Genomic DNA, 22,874 nt, shown 5'->3' on the forward strand with positions numbered 1-22,874 from the left:
AAACATTCCAGAGGCAGAAATGCAGGAGCTGGAGGTGGTCACTGCAAGGTTCCAGCATAGAGCCATTGCTCACTGTGCTGAGCGCAGGTGGAGAGCTCGTGGTGCAGGTGCAAACCTTGCCAGCTGCAGTGCACCCCTCGGAACACTCAAGATTCCCCCAGGTCCCGCATTAAGTCCACGAGGTCACCTCCCTCCCCTACCACCCTGCTAGGGTCCCTTCACCCATAGGCAGTAGGTGGCTTATCCAGGGGTGACCTGCAGTGTTGGAGCACTGGTAACCAGGCTCTCCTTGGGCCATGCCCATCTATGTTTATAATAGGGCATGGAAATGAGAGGGGCCTGTGGCTCTTCTGAGTCCTTGACATCATCCCCTCACCCAGTCATGCCTCACCAGGAGGAGGCAGGCTGGGCACCCCTGCTGGCAGGGACTCCTGGCCCCACCTGCTGAATCACTGGCATGAGCAGTCCCAAGTGGCCTGGAGCATGGGTTTAGGTTTGGGGAGTCCTCCTGGGTCCTGGGGAAAGCGTCCAGCAGAGTGAAATCTGCAGGCACGGGAAGCACCTCCCGAGGGTCTTCAACCCCAAAGCTTGGGGGAACTTGTGACTCGATGGGGCCGTCAGGTTGTAGCTGAGGGCTGGGGATGTAACCCTCCTCTTCCCTACAGAGTACCCCAGGGCACCTGTCACACTCGAGGTTTCATCTCTCCCGGGCTATCAAATGTCAGCATGTGTGGAATCACCTGGAATGCCTAGGAAAAGCCAGCAACCCACGGCTCGGGTGTGGGGTTGGGGTCTGGGCGGCCCTGCTCTCGGTATCTGGAACAAGTGGCCCAGGTGAAGCTGATGCAAGCCGAAGATGGGCAAACTCCAGAAATGCTGGTGTAGAGGGATCCAGGCTTACCATCCCCATCTGTGGTAGGCAGAATAACGACCTCTGAAGAAGACCACTTCTTAATCCCCAGAACCTGTGGATATGTTGCCTTGGGTGCCCGAAGGGACCTGGCAGGTGGAATTAGATGAATCTTGAGATGGTGAGATGATCCTGGATTATCCCGGTGAGCCCAGCGTAATCACAGGGGTCCTTACACGTGGAAGAGGGAGGCAGAAGGCAATCAGGCAGGCGGCGATGGGAGCGGGGTCTGGGAGATGCTGCCCTTCCGGCTTTGGAGGAAGGGGCCATGAGCAGAGGAATGTGGGTGGCTGCAAAATGCCAAGAAACAGATTCTCCCCAAGGGCCTCCAGAAGGAACCAGCCCTGCTAACACCTTGCTTTCAGCCCACTAAGACCCACGCTGGACTTCTGACCCACAGAACTGTGCTGCTTTGAGCCACTACGTTGGTGGTAATTTGCGACAGCAGCAATAGGAAAGGAAGACACCATCCCACAAGAGAGGCTGGGAAAATCGGGTGACTCGCGCAGGCGATGCCCAAGCCTCCCACATCTCTCACTGGCTGCCCCGTGTGGGTGGGAGCCTATGGGACTGGGCTTGGGCTATTCCCCTCCCCAGAGCCAACAGCCTGGCTGGGCAGAGTGGTCGTGAAGCAGTGCTGGCCTCCCCCAGGAGCTGGCTTAAGGCGCATGTCCCCTAGGCCCCTGCCCAGACTTCTGACTCAGAGGGCTCGGGCAGGGCTGGGGAATCCGAGTCTGTTAGCAGGTGCTCCAGTGGTCCTGAGCCCAGCCAAGTTAGGGAGCCATTGCCTCAACTGTTTCCTTCCCGTACATTATGGCTGGGCCTGTCGCTTTTCCCAGAGGGCCCGCAGACAACCGGAACGTGCCACGGGCTGTCGGGGAGCCAGGGTGCCCATGTCCTTGTGGGAAGTTGCCAGGGGTGCCCGTGTTTGCTCATTCAGCACATGTGAATCAGGCACCTTGGCGAACAGGCTGGACACCTGGGCACACGTGTGGCAAAGTTTTTAGGTTCACAGGACAGAAAACCTCCAAGCAAGAGTGAGCGGCTGCCGTGAACGTCGGCAGGAGGTGCTGCAGGGAGCTGTGGCGAACGTGGTGAGGGTTTCTGGTGGGCCACATGTGCGCCGTGTGCGAAGCACTGGCGGGGGCCGGGGAGGAGACCCTGCAGGACTGCAGAATCCCCAGGCTGAACAGAGCCCCTGCAGGGCTGCGACCTGGGCAGGTGTGCGGGCCCTTAGCCTGTCACCATCTGAAAGTTCTTAGTAATTTGATCTTTGAATTTGTGGTTGCTAAGTCCACTGGGACCACGGAGTATGCTTGTGAGGAAACACATTCAGGCTGCGTGTCCACGCGACTCCTTGCTTGCCCCATTCACACTTAGGGCTCAGGACGCCCCTGTAGGCAGGGTGCTGGTGGGACGGCTGTTTCAGGCCGCCCAGACTCAGGCAGGTTCCAGGTAGGCACAGTACTGGACAACTGAGTCAGCGGGGCACTGACAGCCCCAGGGCCATGCTTCCTGTTCTAAGCAGAACTTGCGTCAGACAGAGAGAAGGCAATGGTGTCCTAAAAACCACGAATGGCCACGTGACCTGATCATAGCCTTTCTTTCTTTTTTTTTTCCCCCTTCCCAACTTTTATTTAGATTCGGGGGTATAGTGCGAGTTTGCTACACGGATAAATAGTATGTCGTGGGGGTTTGGTGTGCACTTTATTTCATCACTCAGGTATTAAACACAGTACCTGATAGTTTTTTTTAAATTTTCACCCTTTTCCCAGCCTCCACCCTCAAGTAGGCCCCAGCGTCTAGTGTTCCCTTCTTGGTGTCCAAATGTACTCAGTGTTCAGCTCCCACTTATGAGAACATGTTGGCCGGGCACGGTGGCTCACGCCTGTAATCCCAGCACTTTGGAAGGCCGAGGCGGGTGGATCACGAGGTCAGGAGTTCGAGACCAGCATGGCCAACATGGTGAAACCCCATTTCTACTAAAAATACAAAAAAATTATCTAGGCATACTGGCAGGCACCTGTAATCCCAGCTACTTGGGAGGCCGAGGCAGGAGAATTGCTTGAACCCAGGAGGCAGAGGTTGCAGTAAGCTGAGATTGTGCCACTGCACTCCAGCCTGGGCAATAAAGTGAGACTCCATCTCAAAAAATAAAAATAAAGGCCAGGCGCGGTGGCTCACGCCTGTAATCCCAGCACTTTGGGAGGCGGAGGTGGGTGGATCACGAGGTCATGAGATCAAGACCATCCTGGCTAACACGGTGAAACCCCGTCTCTACTAAAAATACAAAACATTAGCCGGGCGTGGTGGCGGGCACCTGTAGTCCCAGCTACTTGGAGAGGCTGAGGCAGGAGAATGGCGTGAACCCAGGAGGTGGAGCTTGCAGTGAGCGGAGATCACATCACTGCACTCCAGCCTGGGTGACAGAGCAAGACTCCGTCTCAAAAAAGTAAATAAATAAAATAAATAAAATAAAATAAAAATAAATGAGAACGTGTGGTATTTGGTTTTCTATTCCTGCATTCATTCACTTAGGATAATGGCCTCCAGCTGCATCCATGTTGCTGCAAAGGGCATGATTTAGTTCTTTTTTATGGCTGTGTAGTATTCCATGGTGTACCACATTTTATTTATCCAATCTGCCATCAATGGGCACCTATGTTGATTCCGTGCCTTTGCTATTGTGAACAGTCCTGTGTTGAACATACGCATGCATGTATCTTTTGGTAGAATGATTTATTTTCCTCTGGGTATGTAACCAGTAAAGGATTGCTGGGTCAAATGGCACTTCACCTCTTAGTTGAGAAATATCCAAAATGATTTCCGCAGTGGCCAAACTACTTTACATTTCCACCCACGGTGTATAAGCATTCCCTTTTATCTGCAAGCTCGCCAGGATCTGTTATTTTTGGTAATAGCCATTCCTGACTTGTGTGAGATGGTATCTCATTGTGGTTTTGCTTTGCATTTCTCTAACAGTTAGTGATGTTGAGCATTTTTTCATATAGATGTTGGCCATCTGTATGTCTTCTTTTGAGAAGTGTCTGTTCATATCCTTTGCCCATTTTTTAATGGGGTTGTGTTCTCCTTGTTAATTTGTTTAAGTTCCTTATAGAATCTGGATATTAGACCTTTGTCAGATGCATATATTTTCTTCCATTCTGCATGTTTTCTGTTTACCCTATTGATAGTTTCTTTTGCTGTGCAGAAGCTCTTTAATTAGGTCCTGCTTGTCAATCTTTGTTGCAATTGCTTTTGGAGTCTTTGTCATAAAATCTTTGCCAGAGCCAATGTCCAGAATGGTACAACCTAGATTTTCTTTTATAGTTTTAGGTTTTACATTTAAGTCTTTAATCTATCTTGAGTTGATTTTTGTATATGACATAAGAAAGGGGTCTGCTTTTAATCTTCTGCATATGGTTAGCCAGCTATCCCAGTGCCATTTATTGAAGAGGGAATCATTTCCTCATTGCTTGTTATTGTCAGCTTTGTCGAAGATCAGATGGTTGTATTTCTGGGTTCTCTAACCTGTTCCATTGGCCTATATGTCTGTTTCTATAGCAACACCATGCTGTTTTGGCTACTGTAGCCCTGCAGTATAGTTTGAAGTTAGGTGGTGTGCCACCTCTGGCTTTATTCTTTTTGCTTAGGATTGCTTTGGCTATTTGGGCTCTTTTTTGGTTCCATATGAATTTTAGAATAGTTTTTTCCAATTCTATGAAAAATGTCATTGGTAGTTTGACAGGAATAGCACTGAATCTGTAAATTGCTTTGGATAGTATGGCCATTTTAACGATATTGATTCTTCTATCCATAAACATGTTGTTTTGTGTCATCTCTGACTTCTTTGGGCAGTGGTTTGTGATTATCACTGTAAAGAACTCTCACCTCCCTGGTTAGCTATACTCTTAGATATTTTATTCTTTTTGTGGCTATGTGAATGAGATTGTATTCTTGATTTGGCCCTCAGCTTGGATGTTATTGGTGTAAATAAATGCTATTTATTTTTGTACATTGATTTTGTATCCTGAAATTTTGCTGAAGTTGTTTATCAGATCCAGGAGCCTTTGGGCAGAGAATAAGAGGTGTTCTAGGTATAGAATCATCTTCTGAGAAAAGAGATAATCTGATTTCCTCTTTTCTTATTTGGATGCTTTTTCTTTCTTTCTCTTGCCTGATTGCTCCGGCTAGGACTTCCAATACTACGTTGAAAAGGAGTGGTGAGAGAGGGCATCCTTGTACTGTACCAGTTTTCAAGGAGAATACTTCCAGCTCTTGTCCATTTAATACGATGTTGGCTGTGGGTTTATCATATTTGGCTCTTATTGAGGTATGCTCCTTTGATGCCTAGTTTGTTAAGGGTTTTTTACATGAAGGGATGTTGAATTTTACCAAAAGCCTTTTCTGCATCTCTTGAGATGATCATGTGGCTCTTCTTTTTAGTTCTGTTTATGTGATAAATTACATTTATTGAGTTGTGTATGTTGAACCAACCTTGCATCTCAGGGATAAAGTCTACTTGATCAAGGTGGATTAGATTTTTGATATGCTGCTGGATTTGGTTTGCAAGTATTTTGTTGAGAATTTTTGCATCTATGTTCGTCAGGGACATTGGCTTGAAGTTTTCTTTTTTCATGTGTGTCTCTGCCAGGTTTTGGTATCAGAATGAGGCTGGCCTCATAGAATGAGTTAGGGAGGAGTCCCTTTCTTGGCCTTGATTTTTTGGAATAGTTTCAGCAGGATTAGTACAAGTTATTCTATATGTCTGGTAGAATTTGGCTGTGAATCTGTCTGGTCCAGGGATTTTTCTGCTTGGTGGGTGTTTTATTACTGATTCAATTTTGGAACTCATTACTTGTCTGTTCAGGGTTTCCATTTCTTCCCGATCATAGCCTTTCTCACTCGGGTTGCTTCCCTGTATCAGTCATTCACAGAGCCAAAAATAGTGACAGAAAAGGAAAGGGGAAGATGGGGCCAGTCCTTCCTTTCCCTGTCAGCCTTCCGCACTCATCAGTAAGCTGCAGGTGGAGAGAGTAGGTAGAATGTGTATAGGTCAAAAAGTGACAGTCATACCTCGCTTAACACCGGAGACACATTCTGAGAAATGTGTTAGGTGATGTTGTCATTGTGAGAACTTCAGGTTGTACTCACACAAACCCAGATGGCACAGCACCTAGGCTGTATGGCAAAGCCTATTGCTCCTGGGCCACAAACCTGTACAGCAAGTTGCTGTACTGAATGCTGTAGGCAATGGTAACACAGTGCTAAGTATTTTTGTATCTAAACAAAATATATGCGTTTGTTGATTGAGATGGGATTTCACTCTGTTGCCCAGGCTGGAGTTCAGTGGCACGACCACAGCTCACTGCAGCCTCCAACTTCTGGGCTTAGGAGATCCTCCCACCTCAGCCTCCTGAGTAGCTGAGACCACAGATGCATGCCACCACACCCAACTAATTGTTTCATTTTTTGTAGAGATGGGGTCTCACTATGTCAATCAGGCTCGTCTTGAACTCTTGGCCTCAAGCGATCCTCCCACCTCAGCCTCCCAAAGTGTTAGGATTATAGGCATAAGCCGCCACACCTGGCCTCAAAACATGGAAAAGGTAGAATACAGTATTATAATCTTATGGGACCTCTGTCTTACATGGTCCGCGGTAGACTGAAAGGCCATTATATGGCGCGTGACTGTGGTTGAGTTGGCCTTATGCAGAGTTGCCCTGGTAAGAATGAAATCCTTATGCATGTATAAGCTACACAAGACAAATTGTGTAATTTCAGTGATTCTGTATAGGCATTATTTTATATTTGCATTTAAAATAAGCATTGAACAATGTAAAAACCAACAGTAATGTTCATCTTACATTTTAATGATAACCTCATATTTTATTTACTTAGAATAACATTAAATGGCACATAAAAATGCCAGGACAAGGGGAGAGAGAGTGAGCCAGAAAGGAAAAAAGTGCTTTAACGCTAATAGCACGATTTCCCTGATTTTCAAGCCCCACCTTTTCATTTCGCTCTGGCCCCTAAATGTTACGTAACCAGCCCTGGGATGAAGCGAGAAGTGGCTTTGCCTGGATTTCAGGAACTGCCCAGGGAGTTGGCCGGGTGCTCACACCTGTAATCCCAGCACTTTGGGAGGCTGAGGCGGGGGGATCACCTGAGGTCAGGAGTTCGAGACCAGCCTGGCCAACATGACGAAACTCCGTCTCTACTAAAAATACAAAAATTAGCCGGCCTTGGTGGCAGGTGCCTGTATTCCCAGCTACACGGGAGGCTGAGGCAGGAGAATCGCTTGAACCCAGGAGGTGGAGGTTCCAGTGAGTCGAGATTGCGCCATTGCACTCCAGCCTGGGGAACAAGAGCGAGGCTTCGTCTCCAAAAAGAAAAAAAAGAACTGCCCAGGGAGATCACGGAGGCAGGCTGTGAGGGGATGTTGTGAGCACCCCAACTGCGTTCCATTCGAGAACAAGACATGTGTAAACACAGGCCAGGCCAGACAGCCTGATGCTTTCCTACAAGAGAGCCATGGGGTGGATGACCTTCTGTGCCCCTCCCCTCCTTCTCCCTGCTTTGAGCTTGGTGGGGTCCGAAACTGAAGAGGAGGAAGTGACATGGGAGCAAAACGAGGGGCGGGGAAGGACCCCGTCTCCTCGTGCCAGATAACAAGCTGCTGTCTCTCAGCTCCAAGTCTCGCTCCTATGCTTAGCCTCGGCTGAGCTACACATCTCTCCGTTCTCAGCCGACTCCTTGTTGACCTTGCAAATGGGAGGTTCTAGAAGGAAACAAGAAGGCACTTGCTCCTTCCCGTCGTGCCCACTGTCCTGATGGTGGCATGTCAGCAACAGCCCTTCATGCCAACAGGGGCGGCTGGTTCCAGACTTAGCTTCATTCTGCTCTCCCAGGACAGCTTCATCACCACTCCCACAGGGCCTACCATCAGCCTGGCCATGCTGCTCCTCCCAGGTCTCGTTCCCTCTCCGTGGGGCCCTTCTCTGAACTTTCAGGCTCTGATAAGCCCAGATGCACTCTTCCCTTTAATCCTTAATCCCTAGAGGGTGGTAGCTACCTCTTAAAAGTTATTTGTTACCTCAGTTTCCTTTTTGGTTCTCTAAGTCTTCCAACATCTGTTTAGCCAAGTCCCTACCTTCAATTCTTTGTTGAAATACCTAGTGTGGGTCCTGTTTCCCTGACTGGTCCCCACTTGGTGACCCAGCCTGGTATCAGGAGTGGTGTCCTGGGAAACAGATCCTCAAAGACGGGGGAGTTCAAGTCCATAGTGTGATGGGCCAGTGAAGTGTGGGACTTTCCCATCCCTTATCTCCTGCTCCCTAGTTTGACCCTAGTAGGATAAAAAAAATTCAAGCTAGTAATAAAAGAGAGGAGGGATAGAAGCGAAATATGGGGAAGGGAAGGAATATCCCATGCCACCTTCCCTGCCTTCCTGTATATTGAATATCCCAAGCAGGGAAGGTAGAAGATTTATCTCTGAATCAATCTGGCAAGTTTGAATATCACACAGCACTAGCCATTTTAATAACTAAACTGAAACGGAATTTTTTGCTTAGACTAAGTTTTCTGTTTTCTATGAGACCAGAAAGAGCATGGGGTCTATCAATGTTTTTAATCAATTGCTCCCCCACTGACTAACTGTTAAGGAGTCAGGGAGTAAAATAAAATCGCATATTAGTTATGTCACATAGGCCCTGCTTATTCAGCGTACTGGTTATACTTGATTTTATGTTCAAATATACCTAAATAAGATAACACAAACAATTTAAAGCAGCACTGGGATTTAGTACAACTGTTTTTCTTTCAAAAAAGTTCTGTAATTTAGAAAACTTGAATATAGACTTGGCATTAACTTTAGTTTTTAAAGACAGATACTGGAAAATTTAGGGATAAAATTTAATGATGTCAATAAATTACTTAGTAAAGAAGACATATTAGTCAGCATAGGCTGCCATAACAAAATACCACACGCTGGGTTGGGTTAAACAACAGAAACTCCTTTTTTTTTTTTTTTTTGAGATGGAGTCTCGCTCTATCGCCCAGGCTGGAGTACAGTGGTGCGATCTCGGCTCACTGCAAGCTCCACCTCCCGGGTTCATGCCATTCTCCTGCCTCAACCTCCCGAGTAGCTGGGACTACAGGCGCCCGCCACCACGCCCGGCTGATTTTTTGTATTTTTAGTAGAGATGGGGTTTTGCCGTGTTGGCTAGGATGGTCCCGATCTCCTGACCTCGTGATCTGCCTGCCTTGGCCTCCCAAAGTGCTGGGATTACAGGTGTGAGCCACCACGCCCGGCCCAGAAACTTATTTTCTTAAACGGTCTGGAGGCTGGAAGTCTGAGATCAGGGTGCTGGGATGTTCGGGCTCTGGTGAGGACTCTCTTCCTGGCTTGTGGACGGCTGCCTTCTCCCTGTGTCCTCATATGGTCTTTCCTCAGTGCATACATGTGGAGAGATGGACCTCTCTCTCATCCTCTAGTTACAAGGCCACCCACCCTTATGGCCTCATTTAATGTCAGTTACCTCCTAAAAGGTAACTGACTCCAAATACAGTCACATTGAGGGTTAGAACTTCAACATAAGGATTTTGGTAGGAGACACAATTCAGTCAAAAACAAGAGATACTAAAAAAAAAGTTAACAACTGTTAAGCCAAGGGAATAAAGAAGAGTGTTCATTATTCCATTCTCTCTTTCCTATATGAGAGCATTTTCATAATAAAAAGTCAAAAGGGCCTTTGCTTCTCGGTAGTACATTGTGGCAGACCAGTGTTCCTTCTGATAACCAGAAAAAGCTGAACACATTTTCAAAGGCACCAGAGAGTCATGGAAGCACAAAGACTAGATGGACTAAAATTCCCGAGGGGGAAAACTCTTCCACGGTGAACTTGGTTCTATGCATGGACTGGGGAAATGGGGTTTAAAGAAGACAAAGGGCTACTTTTGGGAGGAAGAGAACCAGCAAAGCTTTTAGCACGTGCAGAAGACTGGAGAGTTGAGGCTAATTTCTCCCTAAAGCATTTGCTGAATTCTGAGGCTGTGGGGTGAGTGGGACCTGGAGTGGGGGTGTTTAGCACACAGTAAAAAATTACTATAGACTATACACTAAATTACTATACACTATACACGGCCACTAACAATAGATGTTGCCCCACCAATGACCCAGATACTGAAATGAGCAGATGAGGACTTTAAAATAAAAATACTTCGAAAAAATAAAATAACTGGGCCGGATGCGGTGGCTCACGCCTGTAATCCCAGCACTTTGGGAGGCCGAGGCGGGCAGATCACGAGGTCAGGAGATCGAGACCATCCTGGCTAACATGATGAAACCCCATCTCTACTGAAAATACAAAAAATTAGCCAGGCGTGGTGGCGGGCGCCTGTAGTCCCAGCTATTCAGGAAGCTGAGATGGGAGAATGGCGTGAACCCGGGAGGCGGAGCTTGCAGTGAGGTGACATTGCGCCACTGCACTCCAGCCTGGGGGAGACAGAGTGAGACTCCATCTCAAGAAAAAAAAAAAAAAAAAAAAAAGGAAAAAGAAAATAACTATGGTTCAAGAAAATAGAGGGAAAGATGACAAACTGGTAAAAGGATAAAAAATTTTGACAGAGAATTAGAATCTCTGAAAAAGAATGGGTATAAGGCTTGAAAAGGAACTTCACAAAAGATATTCATATGTCAATAAACATGAAAATGTGCTTAACTTGAATAGTCACCACTGACTGCAAATTACAACCAAGACCATTACCCACCCTCAGAATGGGTAAAACAGAGGAGAAGATGGGTTACCTTACCTTAAAGCAGGAAAAGGTTAGAGAGGATATGTAGCAACTTGAATTCTCATCTACCACTGGTGAGAATGTAAATGGAAAAAAATGACTTGGGAAAATCGTTGGGCAGTGTCTGCTGTGGTAGGCGGAGTAATGGCTCCTCAAAGATGTCCCCTTCCTAATCCCTGGAACCTGTGAATACGTTACGTTACATGGCAACAAGAACTACAAAGATGTAAAGTTAAAAGATTTAAAATAAGCAGATTATCCTGAATTATCTGGGTGTGCCCCATCTAATCACATGAGCCTTTAAAAGCAGAGAAAATTATCTGGCTGGAGCAGAATATATGCAGCAGAAGGGAAGTCGGAGATTGCAAGCGTGAGAGAGACTCGACACGCACCTGCTGGCTCTGAGATGTAGAGGCCACTTGTAAGGACGCAGAGAGGCCTCTAGGAACTACGGGTGGCCCCAGCTAACAGCCAGCAAGGAGATGGGGACCTCGGTCCTACAACAGTAAGGAACTGAATTTGGCCAATAAGCCAAAGGAGCTCTGAAGGAAGGGAACGGTGGGAACTCAGGTTCTCTTCCTGCCTCTCTTTCCCTGACTTTAAGATGGAGCTAATAATACTGACCTCATAAAACTGTCAGTATTACATCAAACATGTTCAAATGTGTGACGTGCATAGCTATTCTTCTTCTTGAGCCAATTTTGGTATTTCTTCTAATCTTTCTTCTTGAGCCAATTTGGTATTTCTACGAATATCTGCTTCATGTGGACAACCACATCTGTTGGAACCCTGCATGCCTACAGTTATCTCCGTCTGCCGTTTTGCATGTTACTTGCACTGACTTTTTCTTCTTCATCAGTGTTGCCAGAGATTTGTCTAAGTTATTAACCTTTGGGGTTTTGCTAATTTTTTTCTCTCAATTTGTCTTCTGGTTTCTTGATCCCTGCTCTTATCTTCATTATTCCTCCGTTTTTGCTTCTCTGGGCTTGCTCTGTTGCTCTATTCTCTGCCTCCTGAGTTGAATGCTGAACTCATTTTTTTTGTTTTGTTTTTCCTTTTTTGGTTTATTTATTTTTTCTCTTTTTTTTTGGTCTTTGAACTCATTAAAAAATTGTTTTTTGACAGAATAAACACCTTTATTACATGGGTGGAGACTGAAAGGATGAGGATTTATTTGCCCTTCCGGGCCTTGATTTTCCTAAGATAGAACTCTGACTCCTCGCCCTCTAGCACGTAGCCATCTGCTTGGCCACAATGTCCCGGCCGCACTGTCCCAGCCTTGATGCGATGCACGCAGGAAGCTTGCCCTGTTGGAACTGCTTCCCCAGAAGACTGATTTTGGCATTCTTTTTCCTTTCATCATACTTCTTCTGAATGTTTTAGATCATTTTTTGTTTAAAATCTCTTCCTCCTCAGGAATCAGTTTGGCCCCTTTCTTGCGGCCCAGGAGCAGCACATAGTAGGACTCGTACCACTGCTGATACAGTGTGTTGTCAATGAGTGTGATGCAGCTCCTCACCGGGGTCTCGGTACGGACCAGTTCATTCTTGGACACATTGTCGACAGCGTCGATGATGCTGGTTTTGCAATTACAACACTCTGAGCCCCAGTAGAAACTCCCCACATCCAGCCTCAGGGCACAGTATTTTTTGTTACTTCCCTGCACACGGACTGTGTGGATGTGGTGGGGGCTGATCTTGGCATTGGCAGCAGGGCGCCCCAGCTCATACTTCCACTTCTCGTCGTTGGGCGTTCTCTTGCCCCCGGTCTTGTGGTGCTTGTGCCAGCTGTCCTGGCGCTGGCTGGAAAGACAAATCTGTCTTATTCTTAATAAACATATTTAACCCTTGGCTGGGTCTTACCAAATTAGGCACATACTTTGTTGAGGCCACACACTTTTAGGAATTTCAAATTTTTCCTTATGATTTCCTCTGTCACCTAGATTGCTTAGTGTATTGTTAGTCTCCAGATGTGTAAGATATTTTAAAATTTATTTTGAATTGTATCACATTATCCTATGATGTTGACTTTGGGATTTACTGAGACTTCTTCTGTGGACTGATACAGGCAGTATTCCTGTAAGTTCCCTGTGTTGAAAAGAATTTGCCTGTTGGGTCTAGTGCTCTCTCTGGGCCCAGGTAGAGAGCTGTGGCATTCCAGTCTTCTAGTTATTCGCTCCTTTTTCACACACCTGACCTGTCCATTCCTGAGAGGGGTGCATTCAAATTTCAAGCCACACTTTTTGGTATTTTGTTTCTCCTCATGGTACTGTCAATCATCATACACACGCACACAGAGTTATATATTATACATATACTACATGGTGCATGATTTGTAATTTTATATATTGTTAGGTTTTCTATTTGCTCACGGACCTTAACTCTTTTTGATTAGTGTGTTTTGGTCATTTACATTTATTTTAACTACTGGTATATTAGGGCTTATTTATGCTTTTATTTCATTTTTCCTATTTACCATATTTCTGATAAGAACAAACACTATACTTGATCTCAGCCAAAAGGCCAAGAAGCAAGGGTGATATTTTCTTTTTCTCCCCTTTTCCTGACTGAATTTCCTTCTGGCCCAAGTAATGAATTTTATTTTTGTCTATCAATTTTAACAATTTTTTAAAATGTTAGGCATCCATCCCACAAACCCAGGTGCGTCCCTAACATCCTCTCACATTCCTCTGGTCTCTCTCCCTGTTTCATCTCCACCTCCATCAGCAGAGTTGGTATCATTCTTGGAGCTTTATTTATGAAGTCTTGAGGTCTAGAAAAATGTCCAAAGGTTACGAGTTACTCCTTAGGCCTCTCAGAAGCCACACTGACTCCTTAGTAGCTTCTCTGAAGTCAACACCAACGCATTCAGCCGCATGTAGGTAGCTCACTACAAACGCTATTATGCAGACACACATGTACATGGCTACCTATACCTGTGTCTGTCTATAAAATACATGTGTATACATGATGTATACATGAAGTTGAGACTTTTTTTTTTTTTTTTGAGACAGTCTCACTCTGTCGCACAGGCTGGAGTGCAGTGGTGCAATCTTGGCTCACTGTAAGCTCCATCTCCCGGGTTCACGCCATTCTCCTGCCTCAGCCTCCCAAGTAGCTGGGACTATAGGCACCCACCACCACGCCTGGCTAATTTTTTGTATTTTTAGTAGAGACGGGGTTTCACCATGTTAGCCTGGATGGTCTCCATCTCCTGACCTTGTGATCTGCCCGCCTTGTCCTCCCAAAGTGCTGGGATTACAGGCGTGAGCCACCGTGCCCGGCCGAAGTTAAGACACTTTTAAAATCTGGTTGCTTGCAAAAAATCAATGGTGAAATGAATGACTGCATATCCGTATAAACGCATGTACAGACGCATGCATGTAGACAGGATATAGCAGGTGGTGAAATAACATTTGGAGAATCTGGGTGAGGAAGAATTCTTTGTGCTATTTTTGCAAGTTTTCTTATTTCAAAATTAAAATTTAAAATGTAATGGGGTCAGCCAACAGGACAGGGGACTCAGCTTTGAAGAGCTTCCCTGACTACAGTTTTGGCAAGTCAAGTCTCAAAAAGAGGAATGAAAAACACAGAGAAATAAGGTGTGATGCCGCCTGAGGCAGCTATGAAACCAACACCACGCCTTGAGCCCTGACCACTTAAGGGGAAGAACAGGGTGCAGGGTTGCCTTTTGGCTGAGGCGGGGCACAGGACCACCAAACAGCCCTGGCTGACACGTGGGAGCTCTCGCTGACAGCAAACTGCCAGCACATAATGGCAACGGGACAAATTAAGGAGGTCACTCTTCCCCGAGCCCTCAAAGAATTCTTGCTCATGGCCAGGACTGTCAACTGAGGCCAACAGCACGCGACATGGTGGATGAGGCACCCCCAAAGGAAGCCCACGTGGACAACTTCCTCTTCACAGGGAGGAAAATGTGACTGAGTGACGGAGGACGGGACTGTCATCACCCTAACCAGTGGCCAATTTTAGCATCACTGGCCTGGTGTGATGGCTCGCACCTATACTCCCAGCACTTTGGGAGGCTGAGGAGGGAGGACTGCTTGAGCCCAGGAGCTTGAGACTAGCATGGGCAACAGAGAGAAACCCTGCCTCTAAAAAACACTTAAAAATCAAAAATCAAAGTTTTAGCATCACTGACAGTGGGTTAAGAAGATACGAAATGTCCTTTGGTGTGATTTAATAGAAAGGACACAATATCACTTAAATGTATTACAACCAAAAGATGCAGGTGAATCTAGCAAAGCTTTATCTGTACCTTCCAGATTCCAGGAAATCCTGGGGATGGGGAGCAGGTCAGGGCAAACTCTTAGAAGTGGACACACAAAGCTGGAGGGTGCACATCCTGCAGGACAGCCTGCCTGGCGCTGTAAGTTGGTTCCATGGTGGATAACAAGATCCTTAAGGACATGACAACCAGAAATCGGGCACTATGAATGCATGGGGTGTTGACTAGGCCCTGGAAAAAAAGGCAAGGGATGCTCAAGGTGAGAAGCGTCTGAAGTCACACCCAGCGTGAGCCAGGTTCTGCCCTGATGGAGGCATTTTTGTAGTCGTCAGGCAACAGGAGAGCTGCCTGGCGTTGGTTGTATGGTCCTTTGTGGAATCAGAGTCACACAGCTTCAAAACACATCACTTCTTTACTCACACCGAAACAACACAAGGCCACTGAGTGCCCTGCTCCCCTACTCACTCGGACCTATGGACACTGGGACAAAACACCATGTTTTCTAAGTGGCCACAGGATAGCAAAAATGTGGCTATCAAGGGGGAGGTGGGCGCTCACCACCTGCCCCTCTCAAGTAAAAATAAAAGAATGCACTCTGAGAGCCAGGGAGGGTGCCAAACTCATTTCTTTTTCTTGAAATGTGACTAGTAAATGGAGCAGAGAATGACGCTGAAGTGCATTCATGCTTTCTGTGACCCATCCGTCAAGCTCCTTCTTTGTGACCTTGCAGCTGTGTGGCGAGGCTGCAGAGCTGAACTGCCCCGCTGACGGGGGAGACAACAGCCACACGGACCTGTCCTGATGACTGCCTGAAGGCACTGCTCTCAAGGCTGTTCATCACCATGCAGAGGAAGGTTCAGGAGACAGGTTCATGCCCTTGGACCACAAATGTCAAGCTGGGAGAGAATGTTTGTGGCGATGACAGAACTGGGATTGACTCTGCAACATCACAAAATTCAGGAACTGAGATGGACCTAGACCCAGAGTGTGACACGGCTCTCAAGGCTGAGGCCACCCGACAGTGTGTCAATTAATGCAGGCCCTTAGAGGGTGCCCTGCTCAGGCTGTATCTCGAATACTGTGTCCACTTCTGGGCCCATATTTTAGGGGTGCAGCTGACAAGTGGGTCCCCAAGGTGGTGAGGCTCTGGGAGATTTTTATTTTTAGAGAAGGGGTCTCACTCTGTCGCCTAGGCTACAGTGGTCTCATCAATGCTCACTGCAGCCTCAAACTCCTGGGCTCAAGCAATGCTCTTGCCTCAGCCTCCTCAGTAGTGGGGGCCTTTTCATAGGAGAGGGTTGGATGAACTTTGAGTTTAACATAGAGAAGGGAAGACTTGGAGCTTACCTTTCCAACTAACATATTACAGCCTGCTATTCAAAGCAGGTCGGACTTGCTCTATTTTGCCCAGAGGAAAGGTCTAGGAGCCATGGGCAGAAGTTACAGGAGCCAGGTGTCAGTTCAGTTTAAGAAAGAACGTTCTAGCAGTTAAAACTACAAACGATTCAGTGGGAAAGGAATTCCCTTCATGTGAACAGGGGCTGGGTGACCAGCTGTGAGGAACTCTTCACGCTGATGCCTACTTGAATGGGTGTGACCCAGAGAGTCCCTCTGTGCATTCCACTCTGGATGAGCAAATGAAGTTAACTTCAAAGCATACTTCAAAATGTGTGAATGAAATTAATTTCAAAGCATATTTATAAAAGTTATAAGAAAATCACAGGGAGATTGAGGGAAGAGGAGACAATATATTTTTGGAGAATGAATGTAAAATATGGTTTTAAGTGAAAGATTTTAATTCAAAGCTCAGCCAGAACTACTCCTTTGCAATTAGGAGATGTGTTTAATGATAACTGTGTCTTTGTACATTTCCATTTAGTTCCTGAGTTCCATGTGGAGGAAGTGATGGAAATGACCCAGTTCACTGGAACAAAGTCCTTGTCTTTTCTTTCTGCCATCAAGTAAGAATGCCGACCAGTGCTGGAGCTGAGTGACGATGCCCTGTACACCCAAGATTTGTGTACAAATGAGTCAGGGCCAGCAAGGGTAGAAAAGGCAGCTGAACCCTCCTGAGGCTCTGCTCCCCCGAGAACATAAAGCATCTAGGAGCTATGTCTAGAAAGGGGCTTTTTGGCCGGGCACAGTGGCTCATGCCTGTAATCCCAGCACTTTGAGAGGACGAGGCAGGTGGATCACTGGAGCTCAGGAGTTCGAGACTCACCTGGCTAACATGGTGAAACCCCATCTCTACTAAAAATACAAAAATTAGCTAGGCGTGGTGGTGCACGCCTGTAATCCCAGTTACTCGGGAGGCTGGGGCACCAGAATCGCTTGAACCTGAGAGGCGGAGGTTGCAGAGAGCTGAGACCGCGCCACTGCACTCCAGCCTGGGTGAGAGTGAGATTCTGTCTCAAAAAAAAAAAAAAAAAAAAAAAGAAAGAAAGAAAAGAAAGGGGCTCTTTACATGGTATCCACTGGGGTCCAGGGCTCCTCTGAAAGCTTGGCAAAAATTTTGTGCTTATGGCATTTTTCTTGGAAGAAGGTCACAGATGTCAGCAGATTCTCAAAAGTGTTTATGACTAAAAGAGAAGAGTGAGATTTGAAAGAACATGCTACCCACGGGGTCAGGGCAGACCCACGGCTCCTTCTTGGTGCTGAGGTGCCCAGGCACCCTCTTTCTCGGGCGTAAGGCCCCCTCACTATTGTAGGGTGGGGGTTAGACAAAATGATTCTGGATTTCCCTTCCAACTCTCAAACACCATGAAAGGAAATGGAAGGAGCAAACACTCTTGCTCACAGTGACCCTTGGGCATTCTAACTGCGGAAGAGCATGCGGTCTCCAGGCCTTGAAGACTCAGCCTTTGACCAGCTCCGAAGGGTGAGACGCGCATCTCTCTTCCATCACGGTTACATTCAGCTGCAAGGAGATGTGACTGACCACTCTGTCACTGTTGTTACTGATTTTGTTACCAATTTTCCTGATTAAAACAGTATCAAAGAACTGCCTTATTGTCAAAGGTAACCACCTTATGCTTAAATTCACAAAAGTAGCCACAGAATCTTCAAGATAATGCAAGTAGCTAATTATGAAGTTATTTTGAAATATGGGCACTCTCCCTCCTCCCTGAAAACCCCCACCCCACCTATGTGTATTACTTCAGTCAATAAATAAAAAGCATTTCAGTGCTGTCTACAGTGAAAGAGGGAAGAGGGAATAGGACAGAGAAATGGAACCCAGACCCAGACCCCAGTATCTCAAGAAACATCTTCCTTCTTTCAAGACCTTTGAAAACACAACTGGGCCGGGCGCGGCGGCTCACGCCTGTAATCCCAGCACTTTGGGACGCCGAGGCAGGCGGATCACGAGGTCAGGAGATCGAGACCATCCTGGCTAACACGGTGAAACCCCATCTCTACTAAAAATACAAAAAATTAGCCGGGTGTGGTGGCGGGCACCTGTAGTCCCAGCTACTCCGGAGGCTGAGGCAGGAGAATGGCGTGAACCCGGGAGGCGGAGCTTGCAGTGAGCCGAGATAGTGCCACTGCACTCCAGCCTGGGAGACAGAGTGAGACTCCGTCTTAAACACACACACACACACACACACACACACACACACACAGCTGGTACTCATCTCTCTGGAATGCTTCTAGTCCTTTTAAGCAGAGAAAAGAAAGTGAGCCACTGAGTGTCCTTCCACTCCTGTGGTATTAAGTACTAAACAGCCTGAAGTGCTTCAAACACAGACGTCAGATGAACTTGGCTCATCCCAGGCACAAAGCCACAAGCACCATGAATGACGTTAAGTAACATGACTAAGGCTGACTGGTGAATTCTCCTGGCCACGCCTCATGAGAAAACAATTACACCAATACTCTGAATTGGACCTGCATATTGGTGAAGTCAAAACTTACTGCCATTAGTTTTGAAAACACAGATTTAGGAATTTGCAGAATATTTTCAATAAGAGAACAAACAGCAATGTTTCTGCCTCTCAGTGTGAAACCTCTTGCTAATATTGATCAAAAGCATGACACTTTATCATCTATCTGTGTTCATGTTAAATCTGTCATCAGAGATGGTGATGGAGAAATATCTAATTGCCATGTAAAAACACACAAAAATTGGACATGCTATACATTTATCTTTTAAAATGTAGTCTGTATTATTTTCACCAACCAAAACACACATAATATATTTTATTATAAAACATTAGCAATGTTACTTTTGAGATATGCAATCTGAAAGGTCACACTTGTATTTATTACCAGGAGGAAATACCAGAGGAGTCACATTAGAAATCAACCAGACAGACTCGTACGTGGTTATCGCTACTTACACAGCATTAAATGCGGGTTGAAGCAGCACCCGCTCCGTGTTTCAGACACGGACTTGGGGTGGGCAAGGGGCCCTGTAAGAGGGCTTCCTCCTCTCAGTACTGGGGCTCTGCGTCTCACCTGCTCCCATCTCCAGGCCCACGGCTGACACGGTATGCACAGCCAGGGTTTCCAGACTGCTCTCCTGCTCTCACAGAACTCTGTCTGCTCTCTGGACTCTGCCCTTGAAACTGAGACCTGGACATGGGGGAGACAGTCGTTTCCTTCTTGGCTGGAAACTAAGTCAACAAATGAAACAAACCTAGTCTAAATTCCAGGATAATAGTAAATTACCTGGTTTATAAAAATACATGTCCAAAATAGTTACTTCCTGGGTTGTGTACAATATAAATTACAAAAATAAAATAGAAAAGATGAAACAGTTGAGCACATTTTTCAGTTCTTTAACCAACATCAGCATTTATCCATAGAGATCAGTTTGAAACCATTTGCGTGGCACCAAGACCCTGGCAAATCTAGGCTCAGGAGAGAGAACCCTGAAGCTGGGGTGAGGTATTTCTGTGGAGCCCTGTGGCCTGTCCTAGGCACGCTCGCCTCTACCTGGTGGAAGATGGCCTTTCCAGGAAACCCTCCACACCGTCACGGGCTCCATCTGTGGCAAGTGGCTCGCTGAATGCACAGAGGAGCGAGTGAGCAGAAGGGCGTCTGCGGGTGCCTCGTCCCCCGTCCACGTCTCCCGGGGAGGGAGCATCACACAGTGCAGGGCAGCTCGCGCATTTTCAACCTCTCCCTTTTGTTTTTCCTTTTAAAGATAGATTTAGTGAAGTCTTTTAAAAGAAAGTGTATTACAGAGAAGGCCATTTTAAGATGTTTAGATAGATAGCCATAAAATAGGTGTTTCCGCCTCAATCCAAGTTATTATTACCATTTTGTACTTGAAAGTGTCCAAATGACACAATATAAAAGAACTATTTCTTATTTCAATATTAATTTTGCTAATCAAAGGTTCCAGTTTCCAGTGATATGACCAACCAATAAGATATAACTGGTGCAGAGAGAGCCATATATTTTACATAATATTTATAATAAACTTTCTTATCACAGTTCCTCCTCAGAACACACTCTACAGAATGTCGACTGAAAAGCTTCCAAAATAATTGAACACAAGATATGAATCAGCAACAGAATAAGCTCAAGGGAAGAGACATGGGCACAGGCAGGCAAAACGTGATCACCACAGCTCCGTTCCTGCAGTGACACTTAACATACTCAGCATCTTCATGAATTCTGAATAATTTACTGATCGTAAAGTCTAAAAGTATCAATTTCAGGTGAGCAGTTTTAAATCAGAAAATAGTCAATAGTTAATCATGACTCTTCAGGGTATTTCCTTCACGTCCTCTGAAGAGTTTCCCAGAACATTCTTGTGAAAAGGAATGCCTCCCAACAATGGAGAGCAACAATAGCAACAGGCATCTGAATCAGCCTGGCCTCTGAAAACAGACCAAAGAGGAGTTTATCTGCTTTCTTCCAGTGAAGAAAGAAAATCAAGAACGTGGTATTGGCCGAGGGAAAGTGAATGAGGGAAGGTAAATAAAGGACCCAGGCCAGTCTGTGGCAAAGGAAGCACTTAGGAAATGACTGCAGTGATCTCTAGTGAGCATTTTGTAAAATTCCACTCCAACGTTAGGCCATGGATGCAGGAACCTATCTGCCATCATATTTAATTAAGATGGAGTGTTACGCACCTAATAAAGAAGGTGAAGTTCTAGGTAGCATTTTAAATTCATAAGAAGTCTAGAAGACCAAGAAGAAAAGAGATAAGGTAGCTAGGATTTCAAGCAGCACTAAGCAAAACTTAAAATTGTATCGTGCAGTAAAGCTGAATGTACAATCATCCCAGACAAGACAGTTTAAAGAAAACAAGATGTCCACATAAGTGTCTTGGTTTTAGCCGTGATAATTCTCAGCCCCAAACATCACAAATCTAAGAAAAGCTATATATTTTTATTTATTAAATAGATTTAATTATATGTCTTCTGAAATACAAAAGATAGAATAAATCATAGCATAAAAGGGAATAAGATATGATAACATCATGATGGCCAATTAATACACATAAATCGACTTTTTCTGGACAGACACCAAATTACTTAAGAGGATTAAGAGATAACTTCAGAAGCAGCACTACCTGGAAGATTATTTGGCATTTAAATACTGATTTCCAAAGTGCTAGATGGGCAAGTCCAAGCAAGCATTTGTGGTCACATGCACATACATCTCAACAGTTACAGATGATGAGAAACTGTCACTAGTACAATTTGAAACAAATTCACCTACTCTAACTGCTCACCTGAAATGATCTTGAACAAAATCTCTAGAAGTGTGGCTTGCAATTTTTTTCTTCAGACATATTCTGCCTCATTTTATCATCTAAGCAGGCAATCCTATCAGGTCTGAGTAGGGCAAGGCATTGTGTTTCTTACATGCAGAACATGGAGTTTTTCTATTTGGTTCCATCAACTCCCAAGCATTTCAGGCCCACGGAGGTGAGAGTTCCTTCAATGCTGACAGGTTTGCTATTTCTAACCTATCATCGACAGCCTTCAAGGGGTCCCGTCGAGGCATCAAGACTGCTGTCTGTGTCTGAGGCCAGCGTCTGCTCAGTGGACATGGATGAAATGTCATTGATCGATGAAGACTGAGAAGGAGTGGCGTTGCTACTTACTGCTGCATCTGTGCTAAGAAAACCAAATATAATAAAATCTGAGGCACGACATTGCTGCAAATCCAGGCAGCGAGACTGCAGGCCATTTCTCGGCTCTGTCCTTTTGCAGTTTCCCAATCCTAACTATGAGTATAGACAAGAAGTCAGTCAGCTGGACTTTCTGAACTTTTCCTTGAGTCTTTCTTTGGGCCAAGAGTCCCATATTCCTATGTCTTTCCTTGCAAGATTCTTCTTTTTTTCTCAGTAGCTAAACATATATGTGGCCATGTATAATCATGTTAGCTACTTAAAAAATACCTGCTGCTTTCAAGCAGACATCAAAAGGACACAGCTATATTTATCTGAAAATGCAGTATCACAAAAGCTTAAGCCTGACTAGGATTCCAGTGTCACCAGACACTTGAATTGTAACAATTTATAACATAAACACTAAATCTACAGGAAAAAAAGCATCAACTTTCAAAGAAATCTTTTGCAATAAATAAAGACTATATACCAGAAAAAGGAAAAAAATTAGTGGCCTTGTATATTTTATGGTTTTATAACTCCAGAAAACTGACATTTTAATCTTTTAAAGCAAATGAAACTATCCTACTTCCTACTATCCATATTTTAGTCTGGTTTGAATAAAAACACAACATGCACTCTCTGAGATCGACGTCTGCAGTCATACGTGTGTGCTCAGTTAACAAGCACCTAAGTTCTTGCTGAAGTTATATAATCTCTAGATGCTTGACACATACGTCATGTTGAACATAAAATTCAAGAATAAAAAGTAAGCTGTGCTCTCTGCACATCCGCACACATGTGTGTGCATGCTTCCCAGTGGGAGTGGGAGAGAGACAATGATAT

General features: G+C 45.5%; 1 protein-coding gene and 2 pseudogenes across 11 annotated transcripts in view; all 3 read right to left on the reverse strand.

Annotated features, from left to right (window-relative positions):
• RPS8P7 (ribosomal protein S8 pseudogene 7) lies at positions 11,837-12,526 on the reverse strand (annotated as a pseudogene).
• Positions 13,147-13,245, reverse strand: LOC124901218 (uncharacterized; annotated as a pseudogene).
• MAPK9 (mitogen-activated protein kinase 9) overlaps positions 18,647-22,874 on the reverse strand; it is a 58,941-nt gene continuing 54,713 nt past the window's right edge. For 8 of the 11 annotated variants that reach the window (NM_002752.5, NM_139070.3, NM_001364613.2 and 5 more), the window contains one exon: positions 18,647-22,030. In NM_002752.5, coding sequence (NP_002743.3) covers positions 21,888-22,030 — 143 coding nt within the window. In that variant the 3' untranslated portion in view covers positions 18,647-21,887. Of the gene's footprint in view, positions 22,036-22,874 lie in introns of all 11 variants that reach the window. The other 3 variants (NM_139068.3, NM_139069.3, NM_001364607.2) reach the window with 1 other exon arrangement.

The sequence above is a fragment of the Homo sapiens genome, chromosome 5 (genome assembly GCF_000001405.40).
Source record: "Homo sapiens chromosome 5, GRCh38.p14 Primary Assembly".
Classification (NCBI taxonomy): domain Eukaryota; kingdom Metazoa; phylum Chordata; class Mammalia; order Primates; family Hominidae; genus Homo; species Homo sapiens.